We start from the raw sequence: 19900 nt of genomic DNA, 5'->3' as shown, positions 1-19900 counted from the left end.
TGCCAAGGTCCTAATGGCCCCAAATAATAGGTGCTACATTATCAAGCAGATATATCAAGAGATTGTGATAATGTTAATGAAACCCCTTTGCTCATCACTCATTTCCAAAATTTATATTTTCAAAGGGAATTTTGTACAGAGTTCCTAAAAAAAGGGATCATGATGCCAGTGTATTGCCTCACTGATTGCTAAATGAAGAGGACTATACTGAAGCATTCAAAGAACGTGATGTGCCTCTGGGGCAACTGAAGGATTGCTATCTGACTTATGCATTTAAAACCTTCAAAGTGGAAGTTTGTCTGGAATGGCTTAGGCAAACAGACTGGGTTGGATTGAGAATTGAATGTATACATAAAATTTGGTTTGGTCAGATGAGTACACCAAATGTGGTAGCTAGCTCACCTTTATTTATGAGATTTTTATTGGGTTGATTTGTCTTGAAAGAATCAAATCTAAGAGAAATGTTTGGAATGGCTAGATGATCCTAACAGAAGAAATCTTACAGGTCTTTACTGCTAAACCTAAGGAGATGAGAGTAAACAGTAAGTGGCCAACTCAAAGAAGCATGGACTATGTTGAAACATGGACTATAGCTGCAATTTCCCAGTGGTGCAGTTTTCAAGCGTTTTACCCCAGGAGAGAAAAAAATAAATAAATGAAAAGTAGCCATTTCACCATTCAGAGGATACTGTTGCCCAGTGAAAACTGCATGAATTATGTAATAGTTTTATGCTTGTTTCCCCCACTCACCATTCCAAAACTGTAAGACTTCAAGATAGAACAGGAGGTATGAAATTTTAACAGCACATAAAAAAATAGTGAACATTCTATCCCCGCACTTCATTGCCATTACTAAGGCTAAGGCAGGACTGAGTTTAGAATGCAGCAAAGCTTTGAAATGTATAAGAGATAATATCTCTAATATTCAAATACACCATAAACTCAAAACTTAGAATCAATCCTATTTTTAAAATACTGAATGTGACAAGAAACGTTATAAAAGTTTTCAAGATATCAGTATATGATAGAAAGAGATGTATTGCTTTAGCACAAATCATTCTACAAAAAAAAAATTCTTCTAAAATAAATTACTTATCCATATCCTACAAATTTTCTTTTTTCTTTTTCTTTCTTTTTTTTTTTTTTTTTTTTTTTTTTTTGAGACAGAGTTTCACTCTTGTTGCCCAGGCTGTAGTGCAGTGGCTTGATCTCAGCTTACTGCAAACTCTGCCTCCCGGGTTCAAGCAATTCTCCTGCCTCGGCCTCCCAAGTAGCTGGGATTACAGGTGCCAGCCACCATGCCCAGCTATTTTTTTGTATTTTTAGCAGAGATGGGGTTTCACCGTGTTGGCCAGGCTGGTCTTGGATGCCTGACTTCAGCTGATCCACCGGCCTTGGCCTCCCGAAATGCTGGGATTGCAGGCATGAGTTGCCGTGCCCAGCCACAAATTTTCTTTTACCTTGGAAAACATATATGCAAATATACTTGTCAACTATCCGACAAAGGTCTTTGGTATGTATGTATGGATTCATTGAACTTTGTTTCTTTTTACCTAATGAATATTTTATGATTTTTAGCTTTGGTTTTTTGAAATGAACCAATAAATTGAAGAGACACAAGAAGTAATATGTGTGTAAATACCAGCACGCTTAGCCCCTCAAATAAACCTCTTACAGGTGTCTGACTCCTCAATCCAATTTGATATTTTTTCAGAACTTGTCTTTATCAATTATTTACATTCTGCTTCATTTTCTGATTTGTTTTTTTTACTTTCACACTCACTTATCATTTTTTTACACAATAGTTGTTTACTACAGTAACAATTATATCTGACATAAATGTACTGAGGAACAAAACAACCATCTTATGGCATACAAATTAGCAGTGGGAGAAGGCTAACCCCAAACATATGCCAAGCCAGGAGCCAGGAAATCCAGGGATGTGGTTAGGCAGAAACTGGGAAGACACTTTATAGCGATTCCTATCTTTGTTACAGACATGAAGGAGATAAATTATAATATGAAAAAATGGCCCTCGCAGTTCTAAAGAGATTAACTAAAAGTCTAGTACCTTTTAAAGATCTGAATAGGAAACACTTGTCATTTATTGTCTCTAAGGGCAGCCACTGTAAGACTTCAAAAGAACCTTGGTCTCCACAGTCTTTTATCTTAACCTGAACATTCCCTTTCTATCATTCCCAGGTCTTGAATCAAACTCAACCAATTATCAACCAGAAAATGTTTAAATTCACCTATAGCCTGGAACCAACCCCCAAACCCCAATACCCTCCCATCCCCCAACCCCCCTGCCAGCCCCAACCCCTCCCACCCCCACTCCCTCTGCTTTGAGTTGTCCCACCTTTCTGGATCAAACTGATGTATTTCTTAAGTGTAGTTAATTGATGTCTCATGCCTCTCTAAAATGTATAAAAGCAAGCTGCATCCCAACCACCTTGGGCACATGTTCTCAGGACCTCCTGAGTGCTGTGTCACTGGCCATGGTTACTCATATTTGGCTTAGAATAAATCTCTTCAAATATATTTTTTTAAAGAAGAAAGAAAAAGGAAAAACAAATGCTTTTGCAGAAGCCAAGAAGAAAGTGAAGGGAAATAAATGAGAGTGGAAAAACGAGAGATCAATTGTGGTGAGATATGCTTTTTTTGGCAATTAATTGCAACAAGTGCCCAAAATGCCAATTATAACATAGTTTGCTATCTACCATTGCTTTATTTAACTGAAGTATTCAACCATAGATATGGAAAAAAGACTGACCTAGTTTAGAAAAGTTCTATCCTGATACATTTAAGCACTAGAGAGTATACACAAATAAAAACACAAACTTAACTTTTCTTAAAAACTTTTACTGAGTCAAATATTAAAAGAGAACACTTGTTTGTAAAGCATCTCATGAAGTTGATTTTTGATTTTTCAGTCCTTCAGTAACTAATAATCTTTATTTTGACATTGATGGTTATCCAATGGAAGAATAACTGCAAGATATTAATAATAGAAATCATTTGCATCAGCCGGGTACAGTGGCTCACTCCTGTAATCCCAGAACACTGGGAGGCCAAGGTGGGCAGATCACTTCAGCCCACGAGTTGGAGACCAGCCTGGGCAATGTGGCAAAACCTTGTTTCTACTAAAGATACAAAAATTAGCTGGGCATGGCGGCATGTGCCTGTAGTCCCAGTTACTCAGGAGGCTGAGATGGGAGGATTGCATGAGCACACTGCACTTCAGCCTGGGCAACATAGTAAGATCCTGTCACACAAAAAAAAAACCATTTGTGTCAAATGATTTTTGTATCAAAGCTTTCAGAAAAAGGAGTGGAAAGAAAATTTAAAAAGCTTTTGTCCATCATTCTTAGATGTCATATTCAAGTAAATATTTCTTCAGACTTAATAAAAAAAATTGAACAATAATAACAAGTGTGATTGTATTTCCATTAACCTGAAATTTACTGCTATTTCAAATTCTACTCAATTTAGAGTTTTTAAGATTAAAAACAAGAAATATTAAATAGAAGTTACAATATTTTTGAAGTAATTGGTGAGAATTTGTTTAATAATGCCTACGTGTTTGGTAATTTGATCTTAGTTCTACAAATTTCACTATCACAAACTCTTCCCTGTCCGTTACCTCAGCTACAAGATTTAACAGGCTGTCAATGACAACTATGTCACATATGGTAGTGCCCTTTGCTTTAATGAGGGTGATTAGCTACAATTGATGTTCATTGCCTTAGTACAGATATACTATATTTAGATATATTTAACTCTATTACACATACTGCAAACACATACTCTTGTTGTCTTCTACACTATTATATATTTTACTTGTTATAGTAGATATTTATTTTAGATGAATAACTAAGTATAATAAAATAGATAGCAGAGGAATTAATTATCTCACATGGATATCATTTCACCTGATCTTGATGAACAAGGAAATGGGTGATTTACCCAGGAATAAATATAAAGTTCTGTATGGTTTGGAAAGCACAAATGGTCACCTAATTTTGAAACACTTTAGGTAAATTCCCATTCAGAAAAACATTTATCACTTATATAACTAATGAAATGCTTAGGGGAAAGTGTTTTGGCTGTCAAAGAACCATACTTTGCTTTTAGAGACTATGTTTGTATTTGAATATTTCATAAAAACTATTTCTAAGCCAAGGAAAAAAAAAAACTAAATAAACAGGCAAAGATCTATTATTGAAAGTGAAATATTTACATATAACCGTAGTTAGAAAAGAAGTGGAAATCAGTATGTGATTTCAGATGATTGCATATTTTATAACTATTAGGGTTAAAGTGCATTAGAGCTTCCTGTTTGCCAGTTGCTGAGAGGCTTTGATTCAGAGGTAGCATCTGTACAAAAAGATACTGCCATTTTTATGGTAAATGCTTTTTAAATTGAACTAGAAAGTAAATAGTTACACATTTTGAAAAAAATATGAATTTTTAAAAGTCTGTGTTTGAACATCAATAAAGAAACAAACGTAACTATGAATTAAGAGAAATCTAGAAATACTTTATTTAAACAAAAACATTGCAAACATTTATGTCATAATATTTACTTTCTTAAAATAGAAACAAAAGCAGTTGGAGATTTAATTCACTATAAGAAAGAAAAGCTTTTGTACATAATGTTTTCTAAGGTAGTAAATGTAAACCTAAGTAACATGGCATGGAATGAAAATAAATTACTGAGAATGGCTTTGTATTGATTACGTATGTTCTGAAATTTTTCCGTATTGAAACAAATCTACACAGTGGAGGAAAATATGTTCTTAAAACTGGCATCTGATGTGATTAGTGTATTACATACATACAAATTTGCAATAGTCTCTGAAGAGAAAATGAGATTTCTACATTTTCCATTTCCAATTCAGTCCAGTCATTTCGGTGTATTTCTCTGATAGTGTCTCTATTAAAATGTAATTTATTTTATTTTATTTCTATAAATTTATGGAGTGCAACTGTAATTTTGTTACATCCATAGGTTGCATAGTGAAGTCAGGATGTTCAGCATATTCATCACCTAAAAAGCATACCTTGTACTTATTAAGTAATTTCTTATCATTTACTCCCCTCTCACTCTCCCCCAACTCTTCCAAGTCTTCATGTCCAAGTCTCTATCATTGCACACTCTATGTCCATGTGAATGCATTAATTACCTCCCATTGATAAATGAGAACATGCAGTATCTGTCTTTCTGTGTCTGACTTTCATCTAAGATAATGTCCTCCAGTTCCATCCAAACTGCTCCAAAATACATGTTTCATGAGTATATTATTTTTAAAGGCTGAATTGTATTCCACTGTGTATATCATCATATCTTCTTATCTTTAGGTGGAAATCTTTTTTATTATACTTTAAGTTCTGGGGTACATGTGCAGAACTTGCAGGTTTGTTATGTAGGTATACACGTGCCATAGTGGTTTGCTGCACTCATCAACCTGTCATCTACATTAGGTCTTTCTCTAAATGCTATCCCTCCCCTAGCCCCTCACCCTCTGACAGGCTGTGGAGTGTGATGTTCCCCTCCTTGTGTCCATGTATTCTCATTGTTCAGCTCCCACTTATGAGTGAGAGCATGCAGTGTTTGGTTTTCTGTTCTTGTGTTAGCTTGCTGAGAATGATGTTTGCCAGTTTCATTCATGTCCCTGCAAAGGACATGAACTCATCATTTTTTATGGCTGCATAGTATTCCATGATGCATATGTGCCACATTTTCTTTATCCAGTCTATCGTTGGTGGGCATTTGGGTTGGTTCCAAGTCTTTGCTATTGTGAACAGTGCTGCAATAAACATATGTGTGCATGTGTCTTCAGAGTAGGATGATTTATAATCCTTTGGGTATATACCCAGTAATGGGATTGCTGGGTCAAAAGGTCTTTCTAGTTCTAGATCCCTGAAAAATTTCCACACTGTCTTCCACAATGGTTAAACTAATTTACACTCCCACCAACAGTGTAAAAGCATTCCTATTGCTCCACATTCTCTCCAGTATCTGTTGTTTTCTGACTTTTTAGTGATCTCCATTCTAACTGGAGTGAGATGGTACCATCTCACATTTTCTTTATCAAATCATCTATTGGTGGACACTTAGGTTGATTCAGTATCTTTGCTACTGTGAATAGTGCTGGGATAAGTGCTGGTATGTTTATGATATAAGGATTTCAAATAGACTGTAAGAGTGTAAAAAGTTTCCACTGAACTTTGGACTGGAAATATGATAAGAGAAGATCCTTTCACTAATAGAGGTGGAGCATTAAGAGATAAAATCGATAACTAATTTTATGCTGCACTAAACAGGGAAGAAAGAGAAAGTGAATAAAAAGCAAGTTTTGTGGTCGGCCAGGTTTTGGATTACATAACGAAAATAGACAAACATACTTTGTTAAGCATATTGCATAACCTATGCTACTTTCAGCTTATTTATATTCATTTAATCCCTCATTCAACTTAATATAATATCCTCTTTTCCTTCCTGGCTTTCTACCTGCCTGTTCTCATTCATTAACTTGTTTTAGCCAATGAGTCATGAGTAGCTACTCTGTTCAGGCATTGTTCTCAGTTCTAGTGATACAGTAGCATACAATTTTAACAAAATATTGACCTCATGAAGCTACATTTTAGAGGAAGGAACTCAGTGAACAAGTCAACAGAAAAATATAAAATATTTTAGAATACAAATAATTGGTATGAAGGAAAACCAGTCAAATGAGGGGTAAGACATATTCAAGGTAGAGAACAATCTACAATTACACTGAGCCCTGAACAAAGAGAGAAAATAAGCTATACATAAATTTGGGGAAGAACATTTCAGGAAGAGGGAAGTGTACAGGCTCTAATGAAATCAAAAAGCTAGTGTATTCCAAAAAGAGCAAAAAATCATTATGCTTGAAATTGAATTGAATGAGCAATGAGAAGAATAGTAAAAATGAGATCAAACAATAATCTAGAGCTAGATCAGAAAAAAAGTCTAAAAGCTAAAATGAAGGTATGCATCTTATTCTAGAGTGTGAAGAGATCTGATCAGGAGAACTACATGATCTGATTACTATTTCAAAATAAGGATTCTTGATGCTATTTGGAAAATGATGGCCTACTATAATGATAAGAGATTATTTTAAATATGTAGTAATGAGATAAAATTACATGAATGAATGTTTTTATTTATAATGAGCATACCAGTGTGTAGCCTCTTTAGTACTTGTGTACTTGGAAGCAGTTTATTCTCTGAAGATTTTTTTTTATTTCTTCTCTAACTTGTTTATTCTTTTTAAATTTAATGTCAATATAATATGTTTTAACTTTAAAAATTTAGGTGCCTTATGAGTGGAATCTCAGTTAAAAAATGTTATTATTCAGTAGGTACTAAATTGAGTTCCTGTTTTACTTTACAAACCAAGCACCATAGGTTATTACAGAAAACCATTATAAGTCAAATTTTTTAAAAGTTTCTTCAGTGAAGTAGACATTACAAAAGTTATATTTAAACACAACACTATGAACTCAAGTCACAGAGGCAAAGAGAAACTATTGTATTTGCTTTGAGCATCTACACATTGTAAAAAAGGTTATTGAATGCAATTCAAATCTAACTTCATCTGAGGATAACCCCAGGCACTTTGTGCCTGTATTTCTTGTAGTTTTGTACTGACTATTGGAAACTCATTCAGTTTTGCCTTAAAGCACCCAGTAACCTATGAACAAAATGCATAAAAACTATTACATGATGTTCAGCCTTTGTAGACTAAACACAACAGGTATATGCAATTGCATAGTGCTGATGACTCACAAAAACAAAACAAAACAAAACAAAACAAAACAAAACAAAACAAAAAACTCTGTCCTCAGACTGATTTGTGAAAATAACTATTTAATCTAAAAATAAACTAAAGAGTGAAAATGAGAATTAGCAAATAGAGTTGAAGGTGTGTCTCAAAATGGATTGTATTTTATATAGCCTTTTACTATAATTATTCTTATAACAGGGCTTGTTTTCCTCTATTAGACTGCAAATGTGTTGGTTACTGAGGCGGTTGCACTTGTTTTTGTATCACTTATGAAACCTAGTATAGTGCTTTGTATTATAGTAATCATTCATTAGATATTATGTGAATGATTTGAATTATATTTCATAGTAGCTCAAAGTTAGTCTTGATGGATAAATGAATGTAATACAACCATATACATTATTAGTAAGGAACTTAATAATATCATGAAGTATCTTTAACCAAAGTAATAATTAAAAAGTAGGAGTAAACCATAGTAAGTTCAAATTTAGAATTTGATAGATAATGGAGATTACTTTTTAGGCCTAAATATTGAAGGATAGATGTTTATGAAACTTTGAGGTTCAAATTATTTGTAGAAATGTTTATTTAATATTATATTCAAGATATTAAAATGACAACAATAGGAAAATGTATAAGAGATTTGTTAAACACATCCTGAAAGCATGGAAATAACCATATATCTTAGCCTAATGCATGAAATAGTATAGCAAATATAAGCAGGATGTTTTCATTTTTATTTTAAAATTGTGTTTATCACTGGATAGGGATAATAAATTTATTCTATTTATTTTTTGCTGTTAAACATATACTTTAATAAACTAAACACATTTGTTTCTGCAGTGGATGGAAATATGTTTGTCACAGGTAAAATTGTCACTTGGGTAAATTTTATCTCAAGCAACTCCTTTTTAGTTTTAATACTTTCTATGTTGCCCAAATCAAGTCTTATTTCCATGAATCACTGTTTTATGTAATAATTTTCTTGGTGAGGTCAATTTACATAGTTTTGGTACTTTCATGTCAGATTTCTAAGGTAGTATAATTTAGTTTAGAGGAAGAATTTCTACACAGATCATGCAACTGTCTCTTCATTATATATCAGGGTAAAATCTACAAAAAACAAAATTGGTTTGAGAACAAAGCTGTCATTACTTGCAAGATGAAAACAGAAAAATTGCATGTGTTTATTAAAACACAGAAGTATATTCCTGTGCAAATTAATGCAGATTCTGAAGTGAAAGACAGGACTTTTGAGAGATTTTGAGTCCAAGGATTCACCTCTTCAAACACAACTGAAAAAACTCTTTTTTATTTTTAAATCTAATCAGTTTATATATGCCCAGGTCCAGCAAAAAGAAGCTGGGTTGATAATGTGTTTTGCAGTTATTCAAGCTAGTTTGAAAGAGTACCTGGCAGTGATTGTGAAGACCAATGATTGTGCTACTAAGGTCTCTCAATTGCCAGACACCCACCAAGTATTTTTTAAATATGCTATTCTGTTTTGAAACTCAAAACCTTGTATTTTTGTTAATCTAGTTACCTGCCAAATCAAACAGGAATCCAAAGTTTCATAACCCTGCTGTGTTCTCTGGTTACTAGAAATAAGCATATTTTTGATGTTTTAACAACCTTTTAAAATAATAATTTCTAATAATGAAATAGAATATTTCTATTTTAAGTAGCTATTGGGTATATCTTTACATAACTAGATGATTATATTAAATGGGTTTTTTAGATGAATGATGTGCATGGGTAGATATTTTTAAAATGAAATATGTTTTTTCCTTTTTTACTTAAATTTCTTTTTAGAACATACTGTTATGAACATTAACATTTATTCAAGTCCTTGGGACAATTCTTCTTCAGTTACCCAGTAAAATTTTCATGATCTCTGCAAAACATAGATTAGAAATATAAAATAACATAAATTTTAGAATACAGTGAGATGACTTACACAATTTGATAATATTTTATATAATATTTTATGATTAACCAGTTAACTGAAACCTAAAAACCTGTATTAACTGATTAATATTGCAGCAAAAAGTCAGTTCATGTTATTGTATCAATCACTTGTGGATACATGATTATGCTGTCGTGATATGATTTCTAACAATTGTCTTGTCATTTTTAGCTTTTACTATTATAATTTTAATTAAAATATATTAAAGTCACTATGTCATAACAGACTTTATATTGTGCCATGCAGTCCTATTGCTCTTTTGTTTTAAATATCATATAGTCTAAAGCAATGATTCTCATTAAATACATGCATCAAAATCAACTGCAGTTATTACATGCTGACTCAAACTTACAAAATCAAGCTCTCTGTGATCCTGGTTAATACATCTAAGTACTTGAGCCGATAATCCAAGTACTTTGGGGGGTCGAGGTGAGAGGATAGCATGTGGCCAGAAGTTCAAGACCAGCCTGGGCAACATAGCGAGACTCCATCTCCACAAAAAAGTGTTAAAAATTAGCCAGACATGGTGGTGCATGTCTTAGTTCTAACTACTCAGGAGGCTGAGAAAGGAAGATTACTTTAGCCCAGGAGCTCAAAGGTGCAGTGAACTGTGACTGCACTCCAGCCCGTCTAAAAAAAAAAAAAGGAAAAAAAAAAGAAATAAAAAGGTATACACTTTTTTTTCTGAAGTGGATGGAAATATGTCATGTCAGAGGTAAATTGTGACTTGAGTAAGTTTTATGTTGAGCAACTCTTTTTGTTTACGTTTTCTATGTTGCCCAAATAAAGTCTTATTTTCATAAATCACTGCTTTATGAAATCACAACTTTTCCTGCAGCCCTGGGTATGGTGGCACACAGTTGTAGTCCCAGGTACACTGGATGCTGAGGCAAGAGGATCATTTGAACCCAGAACTTGAAGGTCAACCTGGGCAACATAGCAAGATCCTATCTGTAACAAAAATTTTTTTAATGATAATTCTCATGCAAAATTCAGTTTGCACTGTTTTAAAAAATGAAACACTTATAAGAGCATGGTCATAAGGCAATTCTGACTTGGTGTCAAGCCATTTAAACTTAGATATGACCTAGGATTTAGGATCCTTGCTATTGTTTACATAGTAAGTCCACATTTAATATCAGTAGATTATTGGAAACTGCAACTATCAGCAAAATGGTGAACAATGAAACAAATTTTACCATAGGCCAATTGATACAACAAGATATAAGTTCCTACTGCATATTTCTGGTCACAATATTATCACTGTACTTCTAAATGGAGACTAAAACACTTATAACATTCAACACTGAAATAAGTGTGAGGTATACATACATTTTTAAAAAGATTAATAAAAACAAGTAAGATGATTATTTACCCAATTATTCCAGTTCAGAGTCTCGGGTGGCAAGAACCTATTCTTACTCAGCATGCAATGCAGGAATAAACCCTGCACAGGATGCTATTCCATGGCAGGGCACAACCACATTCACTCACATTGGGACACACAGTGGGGAAATGCCAATTAACCAGACATGCACATCTTGGGGATGTGAGAGGAAGCAGGAGTTCCTGGAGAAAACCCATGCAGGCATGGGGAGAACATGCAGACCCTACACAGATGGTAGCCCTGTCCAGGAATCAATATTTATTCTCATCTACATTATAGCAAAACAACATTGAATAAAACAACTTTATTTGAGGACCTGTTTTACTTGTACATCTTTGGGAAAATCTTTCAACTTTTATTACTCATAATGTTCTCAATAAAAGTGTGTTAAGAATACATATTTCAGGAGGTTTTTTGAGACAATCAAATGTGGCAATGCATGCAGAATTAATAGCCCATAAGGCATTTTATACAGTATGTTCTTAGTAATCTACTTTTAATTGATAATTGCTTTATAAAATAATCTGATTACTTTTGGTATAAAGGATAACATATTCCACTAATACTGTGAAGTTTCAGTGATACAAACACTTAGAAATCATCTGCTCTGTTATGGAAAAAAACATCTAGAAGTATCTTTCAGATTGAAAAATGTTTTTAAGGTGCTGGAATAACGGTACCTCTTGCAGATTTGTCTAGCATTACCCAATGCTTGTGATTGCTAGTAATATTAGTGAAATAAGTATGCAAATCTTTTAATAACTGAATAGAATCCTTCCCTGAACAATTTCCCAGGTGTTATTGCTGTTGCTATCTTATTAAATATTCAATGCCATCTATTATATCCTATACAGAGTCAAATAATAAGCTTACATAAACTAATATTTAATATAATACTAATAAATTTAAGATGATATAAAGCAGAATAAAATAACATTTCAGAATAAAAAGACTTTGAAGCTTCCCTGTATTACTTGATAAGATTTAGGTACAGTCTCAAGAAAACATTTTTTTTTCCTTCTTCTGCATCAGCTCATCTACAAACCAATTTATTTCTGAAATAGGCCCCAGGGGCAGGCTGGTTGGTGACTGTAATGGGGGATATCTGACTGGCCACTCAAGGAAATTGCTATGGACTTTTAACCTTATTTTGATTAAGTTCTGTGCAGATTGTGTCTGCCAGGCGAGCACTAAGATTACTGTTTCTGAGATCTTTTGGTTGCTATCAGACTGGACTCAATTTTTTTTCTACATTCTCAAGGTTAAGTTGAAACAGTATTACCCATTATTTATAAATGGTAAGTGTTTAGGTTTTGCCTTGTGTTACAAACTAGAATGTTAATAAAAATACTATATTTAACAAGTTGCAAGTTTATGAAAGTCATTGTTTTTGAAAGTAAGTTTTAGATTAAAAAAAACAAAAGAAAGGAAAAGAAAAATCTTTTAAGGGGAAACAATGTCTTTATGTGTTTAAAGTTTCAAAAGGTAATTTATAAAGAAATCAAATATAGTTAAAAATAACTAATCAAAGATGAATATTTAGTGTAGAGGAACATGGATATGGATAAACTGTAGGGTATTTTATTTATCTTTTTCTTTCAGCAAAGATCTAACTAAAATTAGAGAAATGATGTGTTTTATTCTAGAACCATCATGATACAAACAATAATATGTTGTTTTTCATCTTGTATTGGATAAACACTATTAATCCCATTAATCCATTCCTCTTTGCTTCTTCAATTAAAATTCTGTGTATTATATAAATACCTCCCTCTACCCTCTGCAGTGTAGGAGAATCAGGGAAATCTCATCCCATCTGCCGAAACAGAGATGTATCCTGTATGTACCTTGCCAATGATGGCAACTTCTTTTCCTTTGTCGAGATATAATACAAACCCCAGGTTGACACCATTTAGTTCATGATATCACTTCCAGATTGATATTGGTGGAAAGGTGACTTAATCTGGCTAAATCAGATGCAAGAGATGGACTTGTGTTCTATTATTAGAATATAAATTTCTTGTCTTTCTGTATATGATTAGCAAAGCATGCTGCAACAATTGTTCTTATCAGCAAAGAAAAATTCTGATAAGCACCTGGAAATACGGCACCTGGAAGCCCTCATTCCTCAGGACTTGATAAAAGAATTCATTATTATTAAAGCAAGTTAACAGCCAGGATTACTGTTACTTGTCTTGAAAGCATGCTGACATCTCCATTGTTCCACATGCCTTGTCAGAATGATCTCTGGCTTAGGGAAAACTTTTCAGCTATCTGCTCTAGCACACTGGTGTGAAAGATGTGTTAAGGGAGAGGTGATAGCTTGATCCTTAGTGCTGTCAGACATCAGGTGGGTCTTAGATAGCTCGAATCATCAGGTCACTTTTTTCAGCCATGAGTAGTATGCTCTACAGCAGTTATTAATTTATATAAATGCTGTAGATTTAAAAATGGTAGTGAAGTGCTAATTCAGAGTATCTGATTTATAATTCAGAGCAATTCAATGGGTCATAGTTAAGTTGGCAGAAGTATTCTAGTTATCTCTCCAAATATAATAATTTTAAATATTGTTCACACAAGGAAAAAACCTAACATCTTTCTCCATATCCTTAAAACTCCAGATATGAATTTGATCATGCAGTGCTTGTCTTTCTGTGCCTGGCTTATTTCACTTAACAAAGTGTCCTCCAACTTCATCCACATTGCTAAAAATAACAGCATTTTATGGCTGAATATTGTTCTGGAGGGGTGGATAGATAGATGATAAATAGATAGATGATAGATAGATAGATAGATAGATAGATAGATAGATAGATAGATATACATTTATACACCACATTTTCTTTATCCATTTGTTGTTAGATGAGCATTTAGGCAGATTCCATATCACGGCTATTTTGAATGATGCTTCAATATCCCTGGGTGCAGATGTCTCTTTGACATACTAATTTCATTTTTTTTGATTACGTACCCAGTAGTGGGATTGCTGGGTAATATAATAGTTCTCTTTTTTATTTTTTGTGGAAACTCCATACTGCTTTTCATAACAGCTATACTATTTTAAATTCCCACCAACAGTGTGTAACATTCCTCTTTCTCCACATTATCGTTTCCATTTGTTATATTTTGTCTTCTTGATAATATCCATCATTTAAACTGGGATAAGGTAATAGCTCATTGCGGTTTTGTTTTGCATTTTTCTGAGGCTTAATGATGTTGAGCATTTCTTTATATATTTTTTGGCCATTTGTATGTCTTCTTTTGTCCATTTTTTAATCAACTTTTTCTTTTGCTATTGAGTTTTTTGAGTTCCTTATATATTCTGGATATCAAACCTTGTTGAATACATAGTTTGCAAACACCTTATCCTGTTCTGTAATTGTCTCTTCGTTTTATTGATTGATAAGAAGTAGGTTAATTGTGCTATATAAGTGCAAACTTTGTCTAAAGGAGAATATGTGTTCTTTGAAGACAAATGTCCATTTGTCAAGCCCCCCAGTACTTTCTTTTATGTAGGAATGCCAATATAGGACCTTTCCGTTTTGAAGCTGTTTGTGAGTAGATTTTTCTCTTCCCACCAACTGGAGGCTAAAATGTAAACCAGAGACCCAAGAATAGCCACTCATTCCTTGCATTTTTAACCTTGCAAGGTAAGAAGTAGGCAGAGAGTCTGAAATTATTCCTGTCAGATGGATAGATTTTTTGAATCCAATGGTAAAGTGGGAAGTGACAAGCTAAAGCAGAGCCCAGCAGCATTCCAGAAAATGCCTGTGCATGCTTTGCTGGCAGTGGCCAGCGGTCATGACTGACAGGACAATAGCCACATGAAAAGCAGAACTTCCTTTTTCTGATATTGGTTCTGACTTGCTCTCTGATTCCTGCCTGAGGCTGGTTCACCTACTTTTTTTTTCAATTCTAAGAGCTGCATTGTGCTTTTCCAACGCATTCATTTTTGCTTGCTTTAAATTCCAAGTAATTTCTATTGTCTTTAAACAACTGCCTACCTAAAATAATTATTAAATATATAGCTAAAACACTAAATTAAATAAACTTACATTGTTTTCCTTGCTGTAAGAATTCTCTAAGCCTTTCTTATTTTAATATGCATCATGAACCTCCAGTTGAGGCAATGTGCAACACATTTTGAGAGACATGATCTACCTGTTGGAATCTTAACATTTAGAACAGATATATTGATCAGTGTATAATTTTTGGATTATCAAAGATGGGAATAAAATTGAGCTATAATATATAAAATAAGAGGATTTATATATGTTTGTTTTTTTACTCCCCATCTCACCTGCTACTTCTTTATGGATAACAGTTATCCCACTTGATGGAATTTTTCTCTTTTCATCCATTACTTTTTTATTTAAAGTATTCCCTCTCCTAGGATGTAAGTTTCTATAGACTGAAATGTTGTTATTTAATGGTAATAAGCCTTATTTTCAGGCTGCTTTACAGAATTTTGGCTTTGTCTTTTGTTTTCTTCATTGTACTTTTCTTACTCCACTCAGAATTTGTTGACCTTCTTAAATCTGCTTATATCTGTCTTCAATCAGTACTAAAAACATTCTCTATTATTTCCTTAGTTATTGCCTTTGTCTCTCTTTTCCTGGTAAAGTTTAGACATATATTAACATTTAACTTTATCCTTTGTATCTTGAAACTTTTCTTCAATAATTTATTTTCTTTCTTCCTACTGCACTTCGTTAATTTTCTAGTAGTTCTCTGTTACTTCTAGCAGGTATTTCCTTTCTAAATCTACCATGATCATATTTGTATTTTCCTATGTGCATCTTTAAGCCTATGTTTTGTTCTTTAACTTCTGTCTGATAATTCTATTATTTAAATTGTTTTTCTTGTCTGTCGATTTGTTTCTGGATGTTGTTATCCTTAACAATATACTGATTCTTCTCTGTGTATGTGTGTCTCTCTCTCCATGTCTCTCTAAACACATGCATACAAACTCTCTCTCTCTCTCTCATGTATGCTATATTGCATACAAATGATTTACCAAAATAATTGACTTTATTTTTAATATAGACCTACAAGTTAGTTACTTTCATATTCACGTTACAGTTGAGGAAACTGAGACTCAAAGGGAAAAATTACTTGGCCAAGTTTATACACCCAATTAGTGTCAGGATAGTTTAAGATTACCTTGTTGTCTACTATGGAGGTAAGTTCCTCCAGAAGTTTTGCTTATGCAAGCATTACCCATATCAGATCATCTTAAATCAGGGTGAAAATATGAGTATCTGAACAACTCAGATTTGGTCCCAGACTTCAAGTATGCTCAAGAGCTGGTTCTTGTTTTCTCCTTCATTGGAGTGTATTAACCTTATGATTCTAGCTTAGAATAGCAAAAGTCTCTGGGCAGACTCTCTATATTTTGTCAGCCATAGACTATAATTTCTTTTTCATCTGAGAATTCTATCTGAATAAAAGTTAACTTGGCTTGCAAGGAAAAGTTCCCCAAATTCAGTGACAGTTTTCCTCTTTGAGCTCCCATCTTCTTTAACTCTTATCATGTTTTTCTGGTAGCTCTGTTCTGCTTCTTCGTTTGACTTCCATTGAATTGGGTAACTTTTTTTTCCTCTTCCCGATGTACATAAATGACTTAAAGTATATCAATATCACTATATTCTCTATAACACACAAATAACTAGCATAAATACGTTGCATTTAGACAGTATAGTCTAAATACAAGTTCCCTGTCCTATTTTGTAGGTCTTTGAATGTTGTTTAAAAAAAATGCAACTAAGACATGTTAAATTTCACTAAGTTTATTTGACCAAGAAAAAGGTTTGAGAAGTAGGCACCATCCCAGAACAAAGATTGTTCAGAGTGACTCCACATCCAGAGTGGTGAGATGTATTTATAACCAGAACATATACAATTATATTCAGAGTTTCCCTGATTGGTGCAGTTCAATATTTGCCTTATTTGGGCATAATTTGGCAGCATTCAGCCTAGGATTGACTAAGGGTTTGGCTCCTATGATTGGTTGAGTCTCAGTTGCTTGGTTACAAGTCCATATATCTACATTAGCTTACAACTTATCTACACATTAAGTTAGAGTACAGTCACTATGTATGGATGCCGCTTTGGGCCAAACTTAATTAGGCAAGTACAATGGGCACTTTGAGCCAAACTTAACTCAGCTTAACGATGTTCTCTAGTATTTGTTTTACTTTATTGTATTTGTTTGATTCAATATAGCAAATGCTTCTTTAGACTTACCCACATGTTTATATATATATTACTGTTTTGCCTCCATTGAACATGCCTTCTACTTCCTAATTTGTGCCAGAATTGACTAGTAGACGCTATGAATGCATCATGCTCTTTGGCCCATTTCGAACACTCAGGTATGTCTGTACTCTTAGTTCATCTATTCATCATTGTTTCTACAGTTCCCTCATGCTTTAAAAAATATATGGCTTTTATAATTTATCCAGCTTTTTCTTGTCATTTTAATAAGAGTATGTGTCTTATACAACTACTACATTCATCCCAGAAGTAGAAGCAAACTATTATAATCCCATTATTTTTATTCCTACTATTCTCTTTTCAGAATTTCTTTTAGATATTCCTTGGATAGTTTTATTCAATCCTCCATGGCTTTCAGCTTATCTTATGTTCTATCTTTTGGTTCATATTCTGCATTCTGGATAATTCTTCATCTTCACTTTCTAGTTTGTTGATATTCCTTTTGGTGACTATAAGCTGCTCTTTAAAATGGTCAATAATGCCTAAGATGTTTATTATCTTGCCCTTTGCAGAAAAAAATTTTCAGCTTTTGCTCTGGAATGATTTTGCATCTCTTCCACCCAACTTCCAGTGTATCAATGGCCAGAAAATAATCTATATGTTAATTTGTTAATTTGATGGTTCATGGTTCAAGGCTGTACAATTTAAAAATTTGAAGTCAAACAACACATGATGGATAATCCTGATGTTACAGATTCTCAGGGGAGAATATGTATTTGTTTTTTCTACCAATTGTTCTAGTATTTACAGACAAACTTCTTAATTATACTGGGTTGGTTAATAAGTATTTTTCTTTACTCTTTCAATCTAGGTCCAGCTATGCATCACCCCTTCGCTGATGAGCATTAAGAAAATCCAAATTTGGCCGGGCGCGGTGGCTCACGCTTGTAATCCCAGCACTTTGGGAGGCCGAGGCGGGTGGATCACGAGGTCAGGAGATCGAGACCATCCTGGCTAACACGGTGAAACCCCGTCTCTACTAAAAATACAAAAAAAAATTAGCCGGGCGTGATGGCGGGCGCCTGTAGTCCCAGCTACTCGAGAGGCTGAGGCAGGAGAATGGCGTCAACCCGGGAGGCGGAGCTTGCAGTGAGCCGAGATTGCGCCACTGCAGTCCCGCCTGGGCCACAGAGCGAGACTCCGTCTCAAAAAAAAAAAAAAAAAAAAAAAAATCCAAATTTATAAATTGCTGGGTCCATCTCTCTTGCCATCCAGAAAAGTCAGAGCAACTGGTCTTGCTGGTTTTAAGTGTTGCCTGTGTTTCTGGCATTGGTAAGTTTCTTTGTTTTCCTGTAGTTTTAGGTATACATATATAATGACATCTCCAAAATTCATCAATATTAGCATTTGTTATGAAGATTTTTCAGGCAACTGGCTTACCATATGGCCTAAATCTGATTCTAAAGTCCACGTTTCACTTTCTCAAATATAAAAACTGTTTGCTAATAAGCACTAGAAAAATATTTCAAAGAAGAACATTTTGATAAATATGATTATACGATATTCACTGCAGTAAATAACCGTTGCATACTCAAAGGAGTTTCATTTGCATATATAACATGAGATGAAAACCAATGATAAATGGTGACTTTTAATAAAATAGATCAGAAATAGTATCTTGGCAAATAACCTGATGCGAGAATAATTATCCCTCTAATTAGTAAAATTCAATAAGAAGGTAGAATTTTCATTTACATGTGATCAAATAACTTTTTTTACAATACCTTTGCCTTTTGAATTCTTTAATAAAATACATCAGAAATAGTGTCTTGAACAAACAATCTGATGTGACAATAAGTTCCCCTCTAGTAAAATTCAGTGAGAGTGTAGGATTCTCATTTACATGAGATCGAATACCTTTTTTTTTACAGTACCTTTTGCCTTTTGAATTCTTTATTGTTTTCATTTAAGAAATGTGGAAATCTGAAACAAACTATATTCTCAATCATGTTAGAAAAAGTATATGTAATATGTATTTTTTAAAGTCCAGTGGCTGAGAACTTAGACTGGGTTTTGAAATAATAATTTCCTAACACAGTTTCTCAGTATGTTTCCTCTAGACAAGAGAAAACTCTGTAATTATGATTCTTAATTTACCCTGGTAATTTCATAAGAAAAATGATTAATTACTTTGAGCAATCAGTTATACAGATAATCATGGTTCTTTATTTAAACCACAAAAAATAGAAAGAAAGCAGAGAAGCTTAAGCATAAAATATAAAGAAAAATTCAGTCATTTAGTAAAAATGAAATCAGTGTTAAAATATTTCTTTTGACACAGTCAGCTAACATCTTTCTATTTTTGCTGAGTAACTATTAATTATATTTTAAGTTCAACTAACTCTTGACACAGCAATGGAATTTGAAGTGAATATACTACTTTGAAAAATAAATGGTGTATTTAGAGTGTTGACATTTAGAAAATGGTAGTTTTGTGAAATTTGCAATGTGTTTTAG

The sequence above is a fragment of the Homo sapiens genome, chromosome 9 (assembly GCF_000001405.40).
Source record: "Homo sapiens chromosome 9, GRCh38.p14 Primary Assembly".
Taxonomy (NCBI): domain Eukaryota; kingdom Metazoa; phylum Chordata; class Mammalia; order Primates; family Hominidae; genus Homo; species Homo sapiens.
This window is presented reverse-complemented; position numbering follows the sequence as displayed.